We start from the raw sequence: 23258 nt of genomic DNA, 5'->3' as shown, positions 1-23258 counted from the left end.
ATCAGAGCAAGGCAGAATACAGCAAGAACGTATTTGCTGGTCTTTTAGCAACCAGTGTGCTTGCTGAGCCAGCCTCAGGCCCTTCCCTTCCAGGAAACAGAGCAGCAGAGTCAGCCAGGCCAGGGCTTTGGCTTGAAATGCCCCCATGACCAACCAGCTGTGCTCTCAGCCCAGGTGAGCTTCTGTGGGACCACAGCCCAGATCACCTCATAGACTCCTTACAAGTGATATGGATTCCATTGCAGCCATAGGTGGAGTTGACTAAGACATTGAAGGAAATTGAAAAGAACAGTTAGAAAAGTAGAAGGAGAACTGGGGCACCAACAGGATGTGAAGACCTGTAGGGAAGGAAGAGGGAAAGAGGATGGGCCTGAAGAGGCCACAGGGTCTGGCAGTTGTGAGGCCACAAGTGGCTGTCTGGTGCAAATTTTCATAGCTAGAGAAGGTGTTCAGGTTGTCTGTCCAAGGATGTTCATTCAGAATTGTTTATAACAGGGAACCATCGAAAATAACTTCAAGGTCCAGCCCCAGGAGACAAATAAATAAATTGTGGTTCAGCCATGCACAGGTAAAAAAAACATTAGTTCACAGGTTTTGTTTGGCTATGAAGGAGAAGGGGATTGTTTGCGAACATTAAGAAGATTGAGAAGTTTTATGGGAAAAAAATCCAGATGTCCAGCTTCTCTTGAACATCAAAAACTCTGGCAACACTAGACCCTCATTTCCACTTGACATGACTCTGGCTGGAGCAAGAAGCAGCTGCGTCCTTCAGATGAGGAAGTCCCTCCAGGTGGCCAAGGTTTCTACCCACCCTGTCTCTCATGCAGTTTCATGTCAGTATCTGTCAGCTATGGGTAGAGATCTTGTGCATGTTCTTCCCTGAGCCTGGAACATTCTCCTCTTCACCCCCAACCCAGTGCCCTGATGAGTCCTTTTGATTTTTCAAAAATTAGCATTAATGTCACCTCTTCAGGGAAGATTTCCCCAACTACTACATAGTGAGTTGGGTCATCCTGTTTCAGGTTCTCCTTGCATCCTTGTAAAACTCTTCACTACTGTCACTAAAGAAGTGTCTGTGACAGCTCTCTGTTACAGAAGAAGTCCACTCAGTGAATACAGAAGGAAATACAAAGTCACCATTAGAATACCAGATGCCCCTGAAGGCAAGATCCACCCATGGATATTAAACTCAGTGGGTGAAAGTTTAAGAAATATGATATTTACATAGTCTCAAAATATTTTCCCCAAAACAAATTTTTATTAATTACAAAGGGGAAAATAGTAACTTGAGAGTGAAGAAACCTAGCAGATTTCACTTTAACCAAGTGACCAAGGTTAACGTCACCAGTAATAAGTTGCGTTGACATCCTGTACCCCTTGATAGGATGCACTGAGAAAGGCATGTCACTTCTGTGGTATCCATCCCAATAAGGCATAACCTCAATCTAATCATGAGAAAACATCAGACAAACCCAAACTGAGGGGCATTCTACAAAACAACTGCCCAGTACTCAGAAAAGCCTTAAGGTCATGAAAGACAAGGAAAGACTGAGGAACTGTCACAGATTGGAGGAGATTAAGGAAACACGACAATCAAATTCAAAGTGAGACACAGGATCAGATCCCAGAACAGGAAAAAAAAAGTAGAAAAGAAAGTCTGTGCTGAATGGCATTATGCCAATATTAATTTCTTAGTTTTCATAATTGTCATACTGTATAGTTATGTGAGATATTAATCTCCGGGGAAGCCTTGTGAAGGGTATGTGGAAGCTCTCTGCATCATTTCTGCAACTCTTCTGTAAGTCTGAAATCATCTCAAAATTGAAAAAAGTCAAAAAGGTATGTGTGTAATTATTTGCTAGATGCCTGTGTCCCCTCCTGGGAGCCTATAAACTTCATGAGGATGTGGACAGGGACTGTGAATGCACTATCTTTATTCATGATTGAATCCTGGTATTATGGAAAGTGCTTTACACATAGTGGGTATTCAATTAATATGCGCTGAATAAACAGATTCATAGTTATTGACACAGAAAAATGTCCTTTGCATATTATTAAGTAAAAAACCTAGGATACAAAACAGCACAGTGGGATCAACAGTATGATCCCATTTTTTGCTTTGAAAAATCATATACCAATATTTGTATAAATGAAAAGACTATAACAATTTAAAAATGAAATGTTGCCAGGTGCAGTGGCTCACGCATGTAATCCCAGCACTTTGGGAGGCCAAGGCGGGCGGATTACCTGAGGTCAGGAGTTCGAGATCAGCCTGGGCAACACGGCGAAACCCCGTCTCTACTAAAAATACAAAATTAGCCGGGCGTGGTGACACATGCCTGTAATCCCAGCGACTCGGGAGGCTGAGGCAGGAGAATCGCTTGAACCTGGGAGGCGGAGAATGCGGTGAGCTGAGATCGCGCCATTGCACTCCAGCCTGGACAACAAGAGTAAATCTCCGTCTCACAAAAAAAAAAAAAAAAAAAAAAAAAAAAAAATGAAATGTTGACAGTGGTTATCACTGGACGATAAAGTTTTGGGTATTTTTTTTCTTCTTTTTACTTTGCTATAAATGTATATATCTTGAGACAGAGTCTCGCTCTCTCGCCAGGCTGGAGTGCAGTGGCATGATCTCGACTCACTGCAACCCCCACCTCCCAGGTTCAAGTGATTCTTGCCTCAGTCTCCCAAGTAGCTGTGATTACAGGTGGCCGCCACCATGCCCAGCTAATTTTTGTACTTTTAGTAGAGATGGGGTTTTGACATGCTGGCCAGGCTGGTCTTGAACTCTTGGCCTCAAGTAATCTACCCACCTCAGCCTCCCAAAGTGCTGGGATTACAGGCATGAGCCACCACGCCTGGCCTACTTTGCTATATTTTCTAAGCTTACTTAGATTTTCACGAACTATTTTTATGTGCAGAAAAAAAAGTGTGTATATACGCATACATAAAGAATGCCCTGAGCACTGTGCCCGGGTTCGTGTGTGTGTGCAGACCTGGAGCCAGACCCCCGAGGGCTGGGCAGAAGATGCAGGTGTCTGAGCCCTGGGAGGTGGTGACCCAGCAGCATGGTGACTGAAGTCAATGGAGGGGCGAGGTGCCAAAAGGGCAAGTTAATTATCCTCCACTTCTCAGCTTCTCCATTCAGCCAGCTGGCACTTTCTGAGCAAAATTCTGAACTCGTGTATTAATTTTCTCGAGCTGCCATAACAAATGGTCACAAACTGGGTGGCTTAACGCAGGAATGTATTCTCTCACAGTTCTGGAGGCTAGCAGTCTGAAATCAAGGTGTTCACAGGGCCATGCTCCCTCTGAAGATGCTAAGGGGGAATTCTTCCTGGCTTCTGATGGCTCCTGGCAGTCCTTGGTATTCCTTGGCTTATACGTTGAGTCACTTCAATCTCTACCCTCGTCATTACATGGCCTTCTTCCCTGTGTCTCCTCTGTGTCTCTGTATCCAAATCTTATAAAGACATCAGTCATTGGATTTAGGGCCCACCCTCATCCTGTATGACCTCATCTTAACTTGATTACATCTGCAAAGACCCTATTTCTAAATAAGGTCACATTCACAGGTATCAGGGGTTAGGACTTGAGCATATTTTTTGGGAAGAGGCAATTCAACATACTACAACTAAGAACTACCCTGTACCCATTTTCTATCACTGTGTAACACACCACTTCAAAACTTAGCTGCTGAAAACAACTATTTTATTTGCTCATAATTCTGTAAGTCAGCAATTAAGGCTAGGCTCAGCTGAGAGATTCTTTCCTTAGTCTCCCCTGGGCTCATTAGTGGGGCTGCAGTCTTCTGGTGGCTTGACTGAGGGGGAAGGTCCAAGAAGGTCATATTCATGTCTGACACTTGGTGCTGGCTGTAGTGAGTTGGTCTGGTGAGCCTCAACTGGGATGGTATTTGTCTACTCCACGTGGCTTGTCATGCTCCATCAGGCTAGCCCAGGCATGTTCACATGTAGATTGGCAGATGCTAAGAGGACAAGAGCAAAAGCTGCAACGCCTCTTGAGGACTAGGCTGCTGCATTCTGGTGGTCAAAGCAAGTCACAGGCAAGCCCAAATTCAAGGGGTAGGGAAAGAGACTTGACCTCTTCAAGGAAAAAGTAGCAGAGTTATGTTGCAAAGGGGCATGCACATAGGAATGGGAGGGGTTATTGAAGCCATCTTTGCAAACCATCTACCATAGACTTCAAGTTCTGAGAGGATAAGATAAACGGATTCAGGCCTTGACCTTAAGAAGCAAGTCTAGCCCCCTGACTATGAGGCACTGCAGCAAGTGCCATGTGTTAGAATAAAGGCACAGGAAAAAGCAGTGAATTCCCTGGTGTGTGTGTCAGAGAGCTAGTAGGAAGTGAAAACTGAGCTGCCCATTTGCCCTCTAAGTCCCAAGTCAAGGGCCTCTCATCTGTGTCTGGTTCTGGATAATGACCTCCATGTCCTGGGCCCTTAGGGCTCCAGATACAAGCTAAAATAATCACAGTTTAACACTAAAGCAAAGATGGCATGGTCTCAAATCCCCAAAGAAGCAGTTATGTTCTCATGCTGACTGAGGCAAGAAAAGGTTTCCCAACATGAGAGTTGGTGCAGAAATGGGCTTAGAGCTAACCCTTGACAGAATCCCTTTTCCCTCCCTCACAGATAAACACTTGCCCTCTTCTCCAGTGACTGCTCAGGAGAGGTCTAGCTGCCCACACTTCTGTGGGAGGAAAAACTCCAAGTACACACATCTAATATGCCATCAGGGGGTGGAATCCTGGCTGCATTTTTTTCACTTGTAACTTTGACCGTCTTTCCTCATATGTGAGATGTGGATTCATAGGGCTACAGTAAGAACCAGAGAGAATTCTTTGCAAACACTGTGGAAATTGTGCCATTATCTGTAAGGACATGTGTAGCTCTTGGCTCATTCATTTACTTAATCATTCTTTCTTGTAATGTTTAACTCCATTTTGTCTGCCCAGAACAGCATCCTCCATCTCCCAGGATCCACTCCTCACTCTTTTCTGACCATGATCTTTGAATGGGAAATGCCATATTCCTGGATACCCTCTTCACAGTGATTGGTCCAAGGTTGAGTAATTGGCTCAAGTTGGGTCAGTCAGCATTCTTCCCTGAAATTTTTCAGTGTGAGAATATAAAGAAGTAGCTTATTTCCCCTGTGGATTTGGAGCCAGAAAGTGCTGGAGCCATTTATAGTCAAGTCTTTCACCATGGGGAGGAACTGGAGCGAGGGCAGAAGGTGCAAGTGAATTTTGGTGCGGTGTCAGTCCTTGGTTCCAGCTGTCTCTGAGGCCCACCTACACCCTTCTCTTCCTGCAGTTATGAGAACTTTCCCAGAGAAACTTCTTTTTGCTTAAACTTGTAAGCAAAGGAATCTTGACTAAGACAGATACTTTGTTGAATGTTTATTGAGCAATTCCATCTGCCAATCCCTGGGGATACAACAGAGAAGACATGGATCCTTTCCTCTGAAATGTCATAGTGGCAGAGAAGACAACAGGCAGGTGATGGGGGCTGCCACAGTCGTAGCGCAGAGCAGGCATGCTCCACTTTGCTTAGGGGAGTCCACAGACGTCTCATAGGAGGAAGAGGTGCCTACCCAGAGCCTTAGGTAAGACTCCCTAGTGGTGAGGCGGGGGTGGGTGGGGAAGTGCAGGGCTGTGGGGAGTTGCAGAAGACTGTTGGGATGTGAGGGATAGACGAAGCCCTAACAGTGTGTATAAAGGCACAGGATATGGATTGACACAACCCTGTCGGGGAACAGAGCATTTCCTGGGGGCTGGGACTCAGGTGGAGAAGGAGACAGGGTCAGATCAGAAGGGCCTTGTGGACCAGGCTTCAGAGCATGACAGTAGTGGGCGGCTGCTGAGGAGCTGGGTGCAACCGGGGTCGTCGTACTTGTAGGAAGAGGTGTACCAGGCGAGATACAGGCACTGGGAGGGCTGCTTACGGCATGCTAAGGCAGTTACCTAGTTTCTACCTACAGCCTTCACCCTGCACCTTGGGACACTCACCTGCAGGGGGTCGGCAGGTGCAAATGCAGCTCCTTCATGCAGACAAACTCAGCTTCCTCCCAAAGCTGGTCCTGTCTTCAGGACCATGGGATCAGGCCAGCCCCTCTGCACATCCTGCCTGCCCCACTCAGCAGCAGGCAGAGGCCGGCAGTCCCACGGCAGACTGGCTTTGCTGTAGGCACCATGCCCTCTGTTCCTGTGAGATCCTGGAGCAAGCTGCCCTGGCAAAAAACATATCTACTCACAATTTTAAAAGCAGCAGAAACAACAAGTGAGCCCTTTGGTTCACACAGGAGGAAAACAGACATTTAGAGGAGGAGGATCTGTGTGGAGCCCCTCTCAGCTGCGCAGGACCAGAGGTGGCCTCCTTCTAGGGATCAGAGAGCCCTTCTTTCCTCCAGCAGTCCTTGAGTGACAGGCACCCTCTCGGGGGCTTGGTACACCAAGCAGAAGGGCCCCCAATCCAGGGGCAGCCAAGAGGTCAGCCCATGTGGAGCCTATGAGCTGGAGAAAAGAGCAGGTGGTCAGCTCAAGGTGAAGGAATTTCTTGGACACTTGTACCTAAAGCTGTGGTCAGAGATCAGTGAGCACCACAGAGGCTATCAGGAGGTGGTGTGAGCAGGTAAGCAGCTGAGGTCAAATAGCTGGAGAGTTTGCAAAGGCTCAAATACATATTCCCAGTTGCTCTGCCAGACAGTACCCCATTTACCCGCCATCCTCCACAGGACCTTGCTCTGTCTCCTGCAGTGACAGGCAACATGATTCTGTGAATTGTTTGCCCACCATGCTGTGAGGCTCTGAAGACAGGACCTGGCTTGTTCACACTGCAGCCCCAGCTCCAGCCTAGGCCTGGCGTGGGGCAGAGGCTGCAAATAGGAGCTTTTAGTGAATAAATGACCACTTGAGGAGCTTTCGCCAGCACCCTGGGGCAGCAGGTGCATGTTGGGGTGAGGACAGCCCCAGAGACTGGAAGAGAGGATCTCAGAAAAGGGCCACAGGACAAGCAGTAAACTCAGATCCAGAAAGCCTGATCTGAGACAAGCTCAGGGAGAGGGGAGGAACAAGCTGGGCCAGGTGGCCTCACCAGGAGTGTCCCAGCAGAGGAAGCCAAAAGCAGGGAGGACAGGGATGCAGGGAGGTGATGGACCTGGGATGGGAAGAACCCACAGGTGAGGGGACTCAGGACAGAGAATAAGGACTCAGGGTCCCTCATAATCTCAGCAACAGGAAAGATCTCAGCACTGGCCTGGACATCGCCATAATGCCCACAGTGACCAAGGCCTCACACGTAGGCTCAGTGTAACCCCAGGACTCACACTTAGGAAGGCTGGATGAGCTGGCAGCTGGCAAAACAGGGTGAACCCTGTGACCAGACCGGTGAGCGTGAGGACCCTGCAGGCTGAAAAGGAAATTGCTGGGCAGAGGCTGTTACTGTGATACCCTCAGTGACTTGTCAGGAGTGTTGCATCTGGGCCCACTCAGTGGTACACTGGGTTGGCAGGGGAGAGGTGGGAGCTGTGGGGCTGCAGGCAGGGAGTGACTTCTACTCTGGTTGGGAGTCAGAGTCACTTCGTTGCTAGAACAGCAAGTGGAGGGTAAGCAGGACTTATCTGGGTGCTGGGTGGCCTTTGAGTACCAGGTCCAAGCACTCAGGCACCCAGGACAGAGAGAAATGGAAAGTGACCCACCAGGTGGAGAAGAGGGAAGGATGAGGTTGGAGAGGGAATTGAGACCATCCAGGAGGGCTGTGTAGGCCAAGGTCAGAGTTGAATGCTGTCCTGAATGCCTGCAGGGTGCCAGGGAAGGGTTGCAAACAAGGAGTGGCAAAGTGAGATTAGCATTTTTGGAAGAATTGTAGACTCACCCTGTCTTCCCCACCATCCTCCACTCCAAGGCCTACAGTGCCATGCCCTGTGGTATTTCTTTGGCAGCTATGACCTTGAGCTCTCAACAATGACCTATAAGAGGTCTGGGAGAGACAGACAGGGGTGGGAGCAGGGAAGTTGCCCATGGGCAGCTCCACCCTGGGGCCTCACTCCAGGAGATTCCCTGCTGGGCAGTGACCATGGCAGGGATCAGGCCTGGGCTTGCGTAGACTCAGAATCCCTGGGCATGGGAGGAAGTGTGGCCGCCACGTCTTGGGCCTCACCCAGAATGAAGTACCCTTGAGGAGCCCATTGGCTTCTCAAGGTATTGGGCCTGGCCTGCAAGCCTTCCCCACCTGCCTGGCCCTCCCAGCCCTGGCTTCTCGTTGGGCTGGTCTGGCCAAGCTGGAAGGCCCCAGGGCCACATTTTGGGCCCTGCCCTCACCTGTACTTGCGTCAGTGCTGCTGCCAGCCTCCTACCTCGGGCTTAAGGAGAGGGCCCACCCTGAGCCCTGGCTCCTCACCAGCTATCCGGGACTCTCCCGTCCCCATTGCTTGTCAGACAGCCTGGATTGGGCTGTACTTCTGAGCCCCCTCCTCCCCCATCCCCACCAAGGCCCAGCTCAGCATCTTCCAGGGATGCTCAGGTTCCCAGGCCCTGCCTCAGGTGAGGGCCACACTGCCAATCCTTTGCACAGCTCCAGCTGGCAGAAACCAAAACTGTGCACAGGATAAGGGCTGGGATCCCTAACCCTTCCCCGCTTGTACAGGCACCCTGCCACCCCTCACTTGCTCCCTATGACCACACCAAGCCGTAATCTATGGCACTTCTCCTGTATCCCGGGAGATTTTTTACCACGTGGGGACTTGGCGAGAGGTGATTCATTACTTTCAACAGCAGAAGGGTGATGCAATCTACAGATCCCCATAGGAGAAGGGAGGGAGGGGGACACCAGGAGCAGGTCCAGGGGGCAAGAGGGAACCGAGAATCATATGTCCAAGCATTGTTTTTAGCCCCTCCTCTGATACTGTGCTGGGCACAGATGGTGCAGCAACTCTGCCTTGGAGGAGCTCAAGCTGGCTGGAGGTAGATGATAGGAATTTGATAATATATGGAGCAGGTGTTTATGAAGCAGGAAGCAGAGGTTCCACAGGAACAGAGACCTGTGATCTAGGGGCAGCCAGAAAAATCTCAGAGGAAGACCATCTCAGCTGAGGCCTACAGGTTGAGTTGGCCAGTTAAAGAAGGAGAGTGAGGCTAGAAGGAGGATGAGCCAGGGTGACATGAGGGACAGGAAGGTACAGGGAGGACAGCAGACATTCTTTTTTTTTTTTTTTTTTGAGACAAGTCTCGCTCTGTCACCAGGCTGGATTGCAGTGGCACGATCTCAGCTCACCACAACCTCCGACTCCCTGGTTCAAACAATTCTCCTGTCTCAGCCTCCCAAGTAGCTAGGATTACAGGCATGCGCCACATGCCCAGCTAATTTTTGTATTTTTAGTAGAGACGGGGTTTCACCATGTTGGTCAGGATGGTCTTGATCTCCTGACCTCATGATCCGCCTGCCTCGGCCTCCCAAAGTGCTGGGATTACAGGCGTGAGCCACCACACCCGGCTGACAGCAGACATTCTACATGGCTAGAGAGTGGAGGGTCAAGTGGTACAAGATGAGCCCGGAGAGAGAGTGGCCAGGATAGCACGGGCTCCAGGAAATGCCTACTGCCAGTCAGGGTGCTTTTTAGTGAGATGTCCATTGGCTGGATAGGGGGATGCGGCTCCTGCCAGCGTCCTGGGTACACAACCCAGAATAATGCCCTCCAAGTGGCTCACTCCTGCTTCTGTCCTGTGAGTCCTGGACCATACTACATAGTTAGAACCACAAGAGTGTCCTATGTGAGCTATCCTGTCCTCCCAGGACCCCAGCCAAACCAGTGCTTTGCTTTCACTGACCACATAATAACTTATTTTGCAAATAGGCATCTGAGATTCAGAGCAGCCAAGGAACTTGACTGAAGTCATGGGGCACACCAGCGGAGAAGGGGGTTCAAGGCTGTCCAATGCCAAAGCTTTGGGCAACGTTAATCGGTGTCACACGCTACACAAACAGGCACTTTTCTGCAGGACTTTTCAGAATCTTTAATGTAACAGTGGATGAAAGGCTTATATAACATGGAGAGACGCATTTTCTCCTTTTGTCCCGAATGGACTCCTTTCATCCCCAGTGGATCTGCTGTCTCCAAGGAGCCTATTCTGGGGCCTGCTGTCTGAACTGTAGGGTCAGAGACAGGATTTTGGAGGCCTCCCTGCTCTATGCTCTTTGTATGTTGACTTTAGCACTGTCCTTTTTTGATTTTCCGATTGCATTTGGGAAGATTGGCTTTTAATTGGAGGTTTACATGAGCATGGGTGAAGGAGAATGGGGAAGCTAAGCTCCCCTGTCCTCCAGCCTTCACAAAAGACTTCTTCATTCCATGCATATTACCTAAGGCCTTGGATCACCTATGTTAATGTGTCTGTGGCTCAAGAAGGGACACTCCCAGATGAAAGAGCTGCTCTGGGTCACCAACGGTGCCAGCATGTTTCAGGAAGGCTTCCAGGAAGTGGTAGTGTTTTACTGTGAAGGAAAGGTGGGAAAAGAACAAAAGACAAGAGCAAAGGCATAAAGGAAGGAGCCACGGTTAAAGGAAGTGCAGGGATCATAGGGCCTGAGGCTTGGAAGAAGCCAAGAAAGGAAATCAGTACTGGTGGTAGAGGCCTTGTAGGCAATGAGGGATTTGGACTGGAATCTGGAGCTATCAGAACCATAGAAGGTACTTGAGACAGGGATGACTAAATCAAATTCACAAACAATTCTAGCCTGGATTCACTGCCAGCAGAAGGGATTCCAGGCATTTCTTCCTCCCTGTGAGCTCAATTCACTCCTGCTGCAATGTGCCAGCTCTGACACAGCCCATGCCACCTCCTGCCTTGGCCACCCTTCCCGCAGCCTCCTTGGCCTGGCATCTCTGTCATCTCTGCTTCCCTGCAAACTCCTGTGGACAACCTCACATTGTCCTCGCTGAGAACCTTGCACCAGGCTCTTTCCATTGTTCCTGTGCTCACTGCAGGCTCCTCAGCTAAGCCATCTGTGGCCACCACCTTTCTGCTCACCAGGGACTGTCCCCAGTGCCTTTAAAGAAGGGTGGTGCCTCTGGGGCACAAAGCAGTGGCTGGGGCATCAGGAAAATGCTGGCAGGTGCCCCCCTACTCCAGAGAACACAGGATGGCACTCTTTCCTTAGTGCAGTCTGCTCTCCATCCCAGCTTTCCTGGAGCCCATCCCTGGTTTTTGGGAAAGGGACACGTTCAGCCAAACCAGAGACTAACCCTCAGGGTTACCCAGACCAGGATACTGGATGCTCATTTCACTCCCAATAGGCAGATGCCAAAAGTTGCCTGGAGGAGAGTGTGGAGACAGAAGAAAGGGGCCTGACTGTCAGCATTAGACCACAATAATCTGCCGCCCCTACCCCATCCTTGGGACTGTGAGGGATCCAGATGGCTGGGCTAAGGCTGCTGTTATCTCTGCCTTCTGGGCCGGGCTGGGACAGGACTGGCTTCCTTCAGGGCTCTTACTGACACATCTTTTCTTTGATGGGCTAATTCTGTGATATGGTTGTCCTTGGCCTCAGAGTGGTGACTTTTCCTATCCCTGCTGGGATCCTGGGGATGGGGTCGCTGTGATCAGCCCATGACAAGCACTGCCCCCTCCAAATACCTAACATGCTGTAACATGCTCTTGGAATTCTGTCTCCCTTGGCTTCCATGAAGGGTCAAAAGCCTCAGAATCTTGTGAATCTGCTGTTTAACTCCCTGCTGGCATGTTAGGTATTTTTACAATTGTTCTGAAATCCCATTATCTCAGCCTTCTGAACAGGCTCAGTGTCTCGTGCTGACTGAATACGTGACTGGCCACCAATCCTCCCCTGCTGGCCTCACTCGGGGATGCCAGAGAGCCCTGGGCTGCGGGCTCCCTAAAGCCTGCTCCTCCGACTTCAACACAGTCTCTTTTCCTGAGGCCAGGGCCGTGGGAAAAGCACAGTGATCGCAAAAATAGAATGGAATGGTCTTGGCCACACTGGATAATTGTAAACACAGAATGATGTTTCAAAGAAAAACAAAAGTAAAAATTATAGAGTTGATGAGCTGGGAGGAGCTCAGTTAATTTTACTCATTCTCTGTAGCCAGCACTTCCCACAGGTGTAATTTTACACTTACCTGTGTTATTATTTGTTTAATTCATTCAACAAATATTTATTGAGCACCCACTATTCTAGATGCTTGCACTACATCCATTATCAAAGCAAAGACCCTGTCGTCCAGGGGCTTCCATTCCAGAGGATTGGTGGGGGAGGTAGAGGACAGCAAACAATTGACTCATAAATCTCAAAATGACAGAGCATGTAAAAGGGGATAAGTGTGGCCGGGCGCAGTGGCTCACACCTATAATCTCAGCACTTTGGGAGGCTGAGATGGGCGGATCATCAGATCAGGAGTTCGAGACCAGCCTGGCCAACATGGTGAAACCCCGTCTCTACTAAAAATACAAAAAAAAAAAAAAATAGGCATGGTGCCGCGTGCCTGTAATTCCAGCTACTCAGGGGGTCTGACACAGAAGAATCGCTTGAACCCGGGAGGCAGAGGTTGCAGTGAGCCGAGATTGCGCCACTGTATTCCAACCTGGGGCAACAGAGTGAGACTCCATCTAAAAATAATAATAATAATAATAATAATAATAATAATAATAATGTGTTAAGTGCTAGAGAAACAGAAGCCTAAGAACAAGTAAAGCATTGCTGGGGAGTCGGGAGGTTGTAGCTCTCAACTGAGTGAGCAGGGGCAACCTCTGTGGGGAGCATTCCAGAAGGAGCAACTAGCAGAGGCCTGTGGGAGGAACAGGCAGGAGCCAGGCAGCTGGAGCAGGGCAGAAGGGAGTAGGGGGAGAGCAGGGCAGAAGGGAGTAGGGGGAGAGCAGGGCAGAAGGGAGTAGGGGGAGAGCAGGGCAGAAGGGAGTAGGGGGAGAGGAGGTCGGGCGGGTACCAGCCTGGTCACTGGCTCACTGTAAGGCCTTGGACTTTTATGAGAATGAAACGGGAGTGCTGCAGGGAATGGGAATGGTGTCTTGCGAGAGCCCCGGGAGGGCAGGGTCTGCAACCCAATGCCTAGAACAGGGCATGGCACCTGGCAAGAACTCAAAAATTCCACTGGAATGAATGAACGAATGAATGAATCCAAGCAGGAGACTATGCCCACACCTCCCCAGAGAGATAGCACTGTAGGTACATTTGGAAGAATAGACTTCCAATCTGGTCCATGTATCTGAAACGGAGCTTCGTATCCTTATCAGCTGGGGAGTTTTCTAAATCCTCATACCCAGGCCCCTTCCCAAAACTCTTAATTATCAGGCTGGATGAAGGAGGGTCCTGAGAGGGGCCCACATGAGTATGTGATTCTCATGTGTGCCCCCTCCCTAGTGAGAAACATCAGTCTCGACATTCTCAGCTATTTCCAAATACTCAACACCTGGCATCGTATCCAGCCCCAGGGTACACATTTAATGAATGAACAAATGTTTGTTGACTGAATTCATGGACATTTAAACTCATGGACGGACAGAGCTAATTGACTGCCTTTTTTCAGTTTTCAACTCAGACGTCTGAGATTGCATAAATAAATAGCATTCCAGAGAGAATGGGAATGGGAAGCCTGAAGCCCGAAGCTGTTGTTATCACTGTCCTTCCACCCCCATCCCCCCAAAACATGCCATTACCTATTATCTGGGTCTCTTCTGCTTTTTTGACTTCTGCCCTGAACAAGGGGTAGCATAGGGGATTCAGGGATTCTGAAACCAACTCAATGTATTTCTGCAGAGCTCTGAGCCAGCAGGGCCTCTCCTCAGATGAGAGGGCTGCTGAGGAATGAGGCTCTACTACTAGACAGCCCAGTGCTCCTCCCCCAAAAAAGTATTCATGAGTCTGGAGAGCCAAGGAGTGGGGTGCCCAGAGGGACAGAGGGAGTCAGCCAGTTCACTTCCCTTTCCATGCAAGAAGGGCTCGCCCACATTCCAGGATCAGGGATGGAACTCTGCTGCAGGACATGCAGGGGCTTTGAGGACAGTCTGGTCCACCCCTTCCCTTCTCACTTTGCCTGGCCCAGCTGCCCCTCTGTGGAGCCTGGGGCTCCAGCTTAGGGTGCCTGGGTCTCACAGATTCCTGGCCTCTTGCTTGCAGGTGCCGGCTGCCAGAAAGTTTTGCATATAAACAGTAAAGAGCTCCTTATGATCTTGACATACTTGGAATAAGCACAGCCATTTTTTTTTTCTCTTCCCAGAATTCAATAAAGGCCAGAAATTCCACAGGGCATCTGACTCAACTCTATTTTCTCCTTTCTCTTGTTTCCCAGCCCCCTCTCCAACACCATAACCTTGAAAGGGCAGCCCCAGGATCGGGTGCTCTGTAGCTGGGCATGAGGGTACTGCTGCACCTGGTGCCCGGGAGTCCCCTGACCTCAGTGAGGCCAGGGCCCACTTGTACACCCCACTGAGGGGTCACCTGTACACCCCGCTGAGGAATCAACTTTGTACTCAGGAGAGTGGGAAATGAGCAGGTGAGGGCCTAGGACAAAAGTCAGGCTAGGGTTCAAATCTGCTCCTCCACTTATCTACTGTTGGCAAATGAGTTCCCCTCTCCGAGCCTCAGTTTTCTCATGCCTAAAAGAAGTGTGTCAACAGTTTCTTCCTCTTAGAGTGGATGTAAGGATTGAATGGGTAATGCACAGAGAGCACTTCATAAACGATAGCTATAACAATTGCATCTTCGTTAGTGCTGAGCACTTGTCCTATTCCAATTACTGTATAAGAATCCAGGATCCTGAACTAAATTAGATATGTGCCAGGCCCTCAGAGACCACCTCAGCAAGGAGACAGACAAGGAAACAGGAGGCTTTGGGAGTTGCATGATTAAATGCATGATTCAATTAAATGTGTGATTCAAGATAGAGAGGAAGGTGGGATTAACCCTTTACAAAGAGATCAAGACAGTTTCGCAGAGGAAAGGACCCCTAAAAACGCTATCAAGGTTGAATAGGAGTCCTTCAGATAAACAAGGGAGAAAGGACATCACAGTTAGAGGAGATAGAACACTGTAAGACTCAGAGGCCCAGCCATCAAGCTCAGTTTGGAAGTCCAGGGTTCAGGTATCTAAAATGGGAAGAGACAAGGGTAATGGGAAGCTGGAAAGATGGGCAGAGTCCATCCCGGAAGGCTTTTGAGGCCTCCCCAAGGAAAGACCTAAACTTTTCCGTAAGGTGACTGCCCTGTAGTGAAGGATGCAACTGTCAGGGTTTCCTGCTAGGCAGACCTCTCTGGCCATAGTGGGAAGAGGACAGGAGCACACTCTGGAAGAGACTGAGGCTGGGTCAGAGTTAGAAGATGGATGTAAGGGGATAGGACAGGCACCCCACCCTTCAGTCATTCCCCTGCTCCTTCCTGATCTATCAGGGACCACCCGAACCATTTCTTACATAGTATTTCTCTTTATGCTAGTTCATTTTTAAACCATTTTATGTTGCTTCTATTGTACCATTATAGCCACCACTTCATTTTTTCCCTAATATATGCATAAAAATGCCACACTCTTAAAAGAAAAGTGTGGGCAGCAGTGACTCATGCCTGTAATCCCATCACTTTGGGAGACTAAGCTAGGCAGATTGCTTGAGCTCAGGAGTTCGAAATCAGCCTGGGTAACATGGCAAGACAGCGTCTCTACAAAAAATAAAAAATTAGCCGGGGTAGTGGCATGGGCCTGTAGTCCCAGCTACTGGGAAGGCAGAGGCAGGAGGATGGCTTGAGCCCAGAAGGTTGAGACTGCAGTGAGTGGAGATTGTGCCACTGCACTCCAGCCTGGGGGACAGAGCAAGACTGTCTCACAAAAAGAAAAGAAGGGAAGGCTGGGTACAGTGACTCATGCCTGTAATCCCAGCACTTCAGGAGGATGAGGCAGGCCGATCACCCGAGGTCAGAAGTTCGAGACCAGCCTGGCGAACATGGTGAAACCCGGTCTCTACAAAAATACAAAAATTAGGCCAGGTGCAGTGGCTCACGCCTGTAATCCCAGCACTTTGGGAGGCCAAGTGGGGGGCAGATCATGAGGTCAGGAGTTCGAGACTAGCCTGGCCAATATGGTGAAACCCCATCTCTACTAAAAAATACAAAAATTAGCTGGGCATGGTGGTGCACTCCTGTAGTCCCAGCTACTCGCAAGGTTGAGGCGGGAGAATCGCTTGAACCCGGGAAGCAGAGGTTGCAGTGAGTCAAGATTGTGCTGTTGTACTCCAACCTGGGTGACAGAGCGATACTCCATCACAAAAAAAAAAAAGAGAGAGAAGAGAGGAGAGGAGAGGGGAGGGGAGGAAAAGGGAGGGGAAGGGAAGGGGAGGGGAAGGGAGGAAAGGGAGGGGAGGGGAAGGGAGGGAAGGGAAGGGGAGGGGAAGGGAGGGAAGAAAAGAATATGTCCATTTGCCATTGGTCACGTCTTTGCCCACCAGTGGCATGTGACTCAGGCCTGGGGAACCATGGATCTTGCTAGTGATAAGAGGGTCTGATTTGGGAGGGATTGGGAACATGTTGGTCAAAAGATACAACATGTTATACAAATAACATGTTGGTTATTCAGTTAGGAGGAATAACTTCAAGAGATCTATTGTACACTATGGTGACTACAATAAGAATGTTTTGTATACTTGAAAATTGCTGAGAATAGATTTTACACGTTTCCCCTCCGCCACCTCCCCCACAACACAATGATTAGTATAAGGTAAGGCATATGTTCATTAGCTCTACTTGGCCATTCCACGATGTATACATATTTCCAAACACAATGTTGTTTACCATAAATATATACGATTTGTATTTGTCAATACAAAAATAAAATTTTTTAAAAGAGAGCTTGAGTCAGGCCATGGAAGCAGAGACAGGAGCGGGCTCTGCTCAGTGTGGTATCTGCCAGGCAGGCTCCCTTACTCCTGCTTCTACCTTCAAGGCTCTTGTGACTTTGCTTGGGCTGGCAACGCACAGCACTGTGGCTGCTCTGAGAGTGAGGACCAGCCCAGCCTCCCCCTGCCAAGCCCACCCGGACTGTTTCATCATTAGCGCCCCTCCTCATCCACAGCTCCGCTTAGGGCAGAAACAGGCAAAGGCACCTTCCCTAAAGCAAAAGAGATTTCAGCAGACCCAAGGATGACTCAGCTGTGGGATCCTTTGTGGGCAACTGGATTGTGCAGTATTAGTGAAAATATGTAGAGAGAGAGAGGAGGAAGAAAGGAAGGCAAGAAGGGAGGAGATGCACAATCAGATTCATCTTCACAAGAATTTTGTAAAGCAGGAATTACTGTACCCATTTTACAGATGGAAAACCAATCGCATTTAAGCCACCTGTCAAGATCGTTTCTAGTAAGTAAGAAATAGATCTAAGCTACTAGTCCAGATCTGTCTGACTGTAAAGCTGCTGCTTTCTTTTCCAAGAATAAGGTCCCTAATCACACCACTGTAGCAGAGCAACTGTTATTTTTTAAAATCCCCTTCCAATCTTCTCTTGTTCAGGTGCCGTAAAGGTATGTATCTTCCTTTTGTTCGCTTAATATTATATCATAAACACTTGCAATATTGCTAAATAGTCTTTATTATTATAATAATCACTTTTACATAATATTCCACCCTGTGGACATGCGGTGACTCACTTAGTCATCACTAAATATTTAGGTGGTTTCACCGTCTCAGGATTGTAAATCCTCCCTGCCCCCACCCTTCCTCTGTCAGGCTCCCCTGACATGAATCAGGGCTCCCACTTGCCCCATGTCTGGAAGGTTATGTAGGTCACCGGGACCTGGTTATGCCTGCCATAGTGCAGCAAGGCATTCTAGAGTTTCTCAGAAGGCTGAAGCTGCTGAGAAAGTTAAGTCCTCTTCCTCTTCCTCTTCCTTCCCACTGCCAGGCTTGGCATGGACTCCCCTGCCACTGCCTTCACCCACCCGGGCCACAAAATTGCAGCTGGTGCAGACTGGAGATGCCAAAGGCTGGTTGAGGTGGGTTTGGGCTCTTGCAGCTGGTGAAGGCAGCCCCATGCCCAGACATCTCAGGAGCCAAAGGGCACCCAGGTGACCCCAAGGACTGGTCAGCAATGAGTCCAGCACTGGGATGGGAGCCGGATCCCTGAAAAGAGCCCACAGCCTTGCTTGGTCCCCATTTCCTTGAGAAGCCCCTTCCGGAGAGTTTTCTGTGTTTTGCCCCTCAGGGAACATGGCCACATCCCAAACTGGCTCCCCAGCAGCTCCAGGCTGGACTGTGGAAGCAGAAACCCTCCTGGCAGGCAAGCAGACACCACAACCGCCTAAGGTGAATGGCCCAACAGCACATTTTCAGGATACTTCTCTGTTTTATCTGTTTGCAAAGCAGATATTTGGGGAGGTTGGGCTCAGAATTGCTTCATGGCTTTGCCAGTCCCATGGGAAATGGTTCGCATTCTTAGCATAGTTGGAGGGCTGTGAAGCAAGAGAGGACTGCTCCGAGGCCTCTCTGGGACCAAGGAAGATGAGCCACTACCTCGGCATCCTCTCTCCTTGGATGGGTTCTGGTGTGGGAGACACTGAATGTTCTTTCCAAGAGGGCGGAGTGGTGGGATCTCTAGAGGGGCTCTGTGGAGAGAGTCATCACATTACTTATGTAAGCCCAGGGCTGCGAGTGCTTTCAAGGGTCATGTTATACCAGCTCCTGCCCGGAGAAACACACACTCAGTGCCAGCAGAAATGGGCTTCTTCAGAGGCCCAGAAAGCATTGATGACAGTAGTTTTCTCTAGCCAGTGGTTTTCCATTTCTTCTGGGTACATTGCTGTTTGTATTTTTTAAATAAAGAATATGTATCATTTAAAAGCAAAATCCCTAAAGGTGTTTTTGAATTAATAACTAAATGAAAAGGCCTCAAGAGCCAGGGCATTTTATCTCCTGCCTTGACAGTAAACCCCCGAGTGGAGCAATCTTTCTTGCCAGAAAATCATGTCAACCCTTCGTCCTCTTTCCTGCAGCCGATCGAATGCCTGCTGCACTGCTGAAGAGGAAACAGAGTCGTGGCCTCCGGGAGGGGGCTCAAACCTGTGACTGGTGCATGTTCGCCATTAGACACACTGGCTGGTGACCAGCAGCCCCACCTACAGAATTCCCTGGAATGAGGAATGGCATTCCTGAGACCACTCAGCAGAGACTACCTCAAAAGGCGCTGCTCAATGCCAGGAAATGCAGCGAGAGAAAATCCCCTTCCGGTGCCACCTCTGTGGCCAGCACACAGGTCCCCTGCTCAGCGGGTGTGTGTAGACGTGCCCTCAGGAAGCTCAGCCCAAGGCCCTCTGGAAGTGGCCACAGCTGGACCACACGGAACTCATCCACTGCTTCTTTGGAGCTCCAGGAAAGCGCCAGAAGAGGGGCACTGAGGCAGAGGGAAAGCTAAGCAGCCTGTGGCTCAGGGGACTACCTTGCAACTGCTTGAATGTAAAGCAGGCAGAGAAATCCTCCTGGGAACCTGAGGCCAGGTGTATGAGTGGGATTTAAGAGAGGCCAGCGCCCCTTCCGGGGTGGCCCCAGCCCAGGAGGAGGGCGTGAGAGGCACACCTGGGAAGTGTCAGAGCCTGACAGGCGTGAGCTGGAGGCCTGGCAGGAGAGTGCTCTCACCACCTGACCATCCTGGAAAGCTGTCAAAGTCCCAGTGCCCATGCCACACCCCACAACAATCCAATCAAACTCTTTGGAGGTAGGACCCAGGCGTCTCTGATTTTTAAAATTTCCAGGTAATTAAAATATTCAGCCATGCTTGAGAACCAGTGCTTTAAAGAGATATCTGATGCATCCCAGGCTCATCAAACAAAACAAGTAGGGCTCTTCCTGAGTGATTCATCAAGCTACCTTCTCTCTAGAGGCCCTCTTCACTACTCTAGTCTCTCCAAATCCCTGCCATTCCTCCACATCCATCTCCATTGCCACCTCCTGATGGGAGCCCTCCATGGCTGCCCCAGCTGCAGTGAGTGCCTTTCTTCAAGGGCCCCTGTCACTGAGGACCTGCATAGCCATACATAGCCATCAGCTGACAGGTGTTTGCCCGTCCATTTGAGCAATCCATTCCTGTGGGGGCAGGTACTATGTTGTCCATCATGCTTTCTCACAACCTGCTGACCTACCACCTACCACAATTCACTGCCCACATTATATGCTCAATTAGTGTTTTCTGGCTGACTTACATCCTAGTGCATTTCAACATTTCAAGCAATCTTGGTAAGAGAGTTGAAAGAATGTCTGATTCAAATTAGTGGTTTTGTTGGTGATCAGTGATTGTGGTGATAGAGATGTATATGATAGGAATGGTATAGGAAGAATGGCCAAGAAATGCCTCTCAGGCTGTCTCCCAAGATGGTATGTATAACCCATATAGCCCAATCCTCAGGTGGTCCAGTCCCTGCACTGAACATCTTCAAAGATGTGGTAGTTCCACAGGGCAGTAGGCAATGACAGGTATTTTCTAATTAAAAGCACTTCAAATATTTACTACAGTCTCTTGAGGAAACTTAAATGTGGCAAACCAAACACATGCATTTATATCTACTGAGGAGCCTTGAGGGGTGAGGAGAAACAAAAATGTATTCCAGCCAGTGAGACCAGCAGTGATGGGGACAGAGGGACACAAAGCCCTCCCCGGTTCTCAGAATGGCAAGAGGTCTTGTGAGTGTGGAGTGTAGGGAGGAATGGTTAAAAGAGACTGAGAAGGAGCCAGTATACAAATGGGCTTGAGTCATGAGCCAAGGGGGTAGATTCCAGGTTTTACCATCCAAAGCCTACAACTAACAAGTGGTGTGATCAGATCACTCTGGCAACATGCAGAGGGCAGGACACCGTCAGGCCACTAGAGCAGCGGTGGGGAGAAAGGGCCAGGCAGAAAAGGGCTGGGAGATGTGGCCCAGCCACTATCAGGTCCACCTGCGGTTGCCGAAGAAGATGCTTCTATGCCCCGTTCCCTGTGTGGTGTGTTCTCAGGCCTGGGGCTGGCATTGAAGGTGCTCCTACACACCTTACCCAAGACTTGCTTCCACCCAGTGCTAACTGGCCACTCCATGCCACTGCTCCAGGCTCTGAGCGGAGGTCAGATAGCCCCCCAGTTGCTGGGAGGGCCAACCTCAGCTGCCTTCACACACAGCCCAACATTTTCACCTTATGTACAAGCCAAAGGATATGTATAGTCACCACCAGATAGAAAACAAGCAAATCTTTAGGCTCAGACAATATGAAATATATATCAGCGACTTAAAAAAATGTATGCCAATTTTTACCAAAAGAATTTCAGAGTCTGGGCTGCTTGGGTTTTCCAGGAAGCTGATGTTGAGATAGGGTTAGGAATGCAAGGTTAAAGAGGGTGAGGGTAACGCCTGGGAATGAAATGGGGCAAAAGTAAGAGTGGAGTTCTCAGACCTGCAGGCCTGACTTTCTGCCAGTCATCCAGTGAACTAAAACAAAAACAGCCCATTAGAGGACTCCTGTGTTGGAAATGTGGAAACGATGGAATGGCTGGGCCCTCATACCACCATCTTGCTCAGTCATTGGACAGGGACACCCAAAGAAAATCATAAACTTGGTCCAAAAGCTGAGTAGACCCTGTAGGAGCCAACAGTGGTAGGCTGCCAGCTGAGCACAGCCTTGAAGCAGGGCAGTTTTTTTTTGTTTGTTTGTTTGTTTGAGACCAAGTCTCGCTCTGTCTCCCAAGCTGGAGTGCAGTGGCACGATCTCGGCTCACCGCAACCTCTGCCTCCTGGGTTCAAGCGATTCTCCTGTCTCGCCCTCCCAAGTAGCTGGGACTACAGGCGCGTGCCACCACACCCTGCTGATTTTTTTTTTTATTTTTTAGTAGAGATGGGGTTTCACCATGTTAGCCAGGATGGTCTCGATCTCCTGACCTTGTGATGTGCCTGCCTCGGCCTCCCAAAGTGCTGGGATTACAGGCGTGAGCCACTGCACCCGGCACAGCTGGGCAGTCTTTTACTGGGGCAATGTGTCTTCTGTTGGACGCATCTTGGAGCAGCACAGCTGAGCAACGCATCCTCGTGTCTGTCATGAAGTCCTCCCTCCTCCCAGCCTCCAGTCTCAGTGGGCCACACATAGCATGTTTGAACCCTCTGTGCCAGTCCCCATAAGGAGCCCTCCTCACTATCCCCATCACCTTCTTTCCCTGCCGCCTCAGCAGGCAGAGGGCACCTCTTTCCAGGGATCTACTCTGTCCTCTCCCTCCCTTCAATTCTTAACACTGAAGTCCTCTTCTTTTGTTTGTCTCCTCCTAACACTCTGTCCAAAACCCATCACCAGCAAAATCAAAACATAAATGACTAGCTAGGCAAAGATCTGTACCTTTTGAACCACTAAAGGCTAATCTTCCTAAGACATAAAAAGCTCAATACAAGTCACAGATATAACTAAACTGAAAAAAAGGAGCAAACGATATGAATGGACAGTTTATGGAAAGGAAGTCCAAAAGACCCTTAGGTGAAAAGACACTCAACCTGACTCATAGTAAAAGAAATTCAAGTTAAACACCATTTAATTCAAGTAAGACACCGTTTTCGGCTATCAGATTGGCAAAGATCAAAAAGTTTGATTCAGCGCAGCGTTGGCGGGGAAACAAGCAGGCTCACAGGCTACTGGTGGGAACGTGAATTGGTAAAGCCATGCAGAGGACAATTTGGCAGTGTCTCTCTAAGTTACAAATTCCCATGACCTTCAAAAGGCAGTTGAATGTAATGGTTAAGCGCACAGACTGGAGTCAGAACACCTCGGTTTGAATTCCAGCTCTACAAGTCCTTTACCTTCTCTGTACCTCAGTTTTTCTCATCTGCAAAATGGAATGATAATAGTATCTCCCTCAGGAGATTGTTGCAAGGATTAAAATACCTTAATTATTGTAAAGCACTTACAACAGTTCCCAGCTCTTAGTAAATACCCATGCAGATGTTAACCATCATTATTATTAATTGACCTTGCAATTCCACTACCAGGAATTTATCCTACAGATATGCTTGCACATGTGCTAAAGAGTACACAATGTTATTCATTGCAGCACTGATGCCATTGAGGAGAAGACTGGAAACAATTCAAATGTCCATGAACAAGCTAAGCTGGCAATGGTGCATGTGTATAATGCAATACTATGGGGATACAAAATAATAATAATAATGAAAGAGCTCTTTAGTCTGATCCAGTAGGTGCAGAATGCCGCCATAAGTTTTTAAATAAGGAGAGTAGCA

The 23258-nt window shown here is 49.1% G+C and overlaps 1 long non-coding RNA gene across 1 annotated transcript, besides 8 other annotated features; it reads left to right on the top strand.

Annotated features, from left to right (window-relative positions):
* Positions 3635–4834: an enhancer, noted in NCBI's record as "CDK7 strongly-dependent group 2 enhancer chr3:134059546-134060745 (GRCh37/hg19 assembly coordinates)". NCBI's record gives its function as "activates an origin of replication core promoter dependent on BRD2, BRD4, P300/CBP, MED14 and CDK7 cofactors, with strong dependence on CDK7, by STARR-seq in HCT116 cells {active_cell/tissue: HCT116}" and the evidence as "EXISTENCE:reporter gene assay evidence [ECO:0000049][PMID:35650434]".
* Positions 10363–11213: an enhancer, noted in NCBI's record as "H3K27ac-H3K4me1 hESC enhancer chr3:134053167-134054017 (GRCh37/hg19 assembly coordinates)". NCBI's record gives its function as "activates a minimal SCP1, AML or CMV promoter by ChIP-STARR-seq in naive H9 embryonic stem cells {active_cell/tissue: H9 hESC(naive)}" and the evidence as "EXISTENCE:reporter gene assay evidence [ECO:0000049][PMID:30033119]".
* Positions 11214–12066: an enhancer, noted in NCBI's record as "H3K27ac-H3K4me1 hESC enhancer chr3:134052314-134053166 (GRCh37/hg19 assembly coordinates)". NCBI's record gives its function as "activates a minimal SCP1, AML or CMV promoter by ChIP-STARR-seq in naive H9 embryonic stem cells {active_cell/tissue: H9 hESC(naive)}" and the evidence as "EXISTENCE:reporter gene assay evidence [ECO:0000049][PMID:30033119]".
* Positions 14146–14711: an enhancer, noted in NCBI's record as "H3K27ac-H3K4me1 hESC enhancer chr3:134049669-134050234 (GRCh37/hg19 assembly coordinates)". NCBI's record gives its function as "activates a minimal SCP1, AML or CMV promoter by ChIP-STARR-seq in primed H9 embryonic stem cells {active_cell/tissue: H9 hESC(primed)}" and the evidence as "EXISTENCE:reporter gene assay evidence [ECO:0000049][PMID:30033119]".
* On the top strand, positions 16844–20517 carry LOC105374118 (uncharacterized). Its single transcript, XR_924518.4, has 2 exons — positions 16844–18324; positions 19011–20517. It is a non-coding gene; the product is annotated as an uncharacterized LOC105374118 (long non-coding RNA).
* Positions 18237–18531: an enhancer, noted in NCBI's record as "tiled region #10998; HepG2 Activating DNase matched - State 8:EnhW". NCBI's record gives its function as "activates a minimal TATA promoter and a strong SV40 promoter by Sharpr-MPRA in HepG2 cells {active_cell/tissue: HepG2}" and the evidence as "EXISTENCE:reporter gene assay evidence [ECO:0000049][PMID:27701403]".
* Positions 18237–18611: a biological region, named in NCBI's record as "Sharpr-MPRA regulatory regions 684 and 10996".
* Positions 18317–18611: a silencer, noted in NCBI's record as "tiled region #684; K562 Repressive non-DNase unmatched - State 22:ReprW". NCBI's record gives its function as "represses a minimal TATA promoter and a strong SV40 promoter by Sharpr-MPRA in K562 cells {active_cell/tissue: K562}" and the evidence as "EXISTENCE:reporter gene assay evidence [ECO:0000049][PMID:27701403]".
* Positions 18317–18611: an enhancer, noted in NCBI's record as "tiled region #684; HepG2 Activating non-DNase unmatched - State 8:EnhW". NCBI's record gives its function as "activates a minimal TATA promoter and a strong SV40 promoter by Sharpr-MPRA in HepG2 cells {active_cell/tissue: HepG2}" and the evidence as "EXISTENCE:reporter gene assay evidence [ECO:0000049][PMID:27701403]".
* Positions 20518–23258: the final 2741 nt, after the last annotated feature.

The sequence above is a fragment of the Homo sapiens genome, chromosome 3 (assembly GCF_000001405.40).
Source record: "Homo sapiens chromosome 3, GRCh38.p14 Primary Assembly".
In the NCBI taxonomy this organism is placed as follows: Eukaryota; Metazoa; Chordata; class Mammalia; order Primates; family Hominidae; genus Homo; species Homo sapiens.
This window is presented reverse-complemented; position numbering and strand designations above follow the sequence as displayed.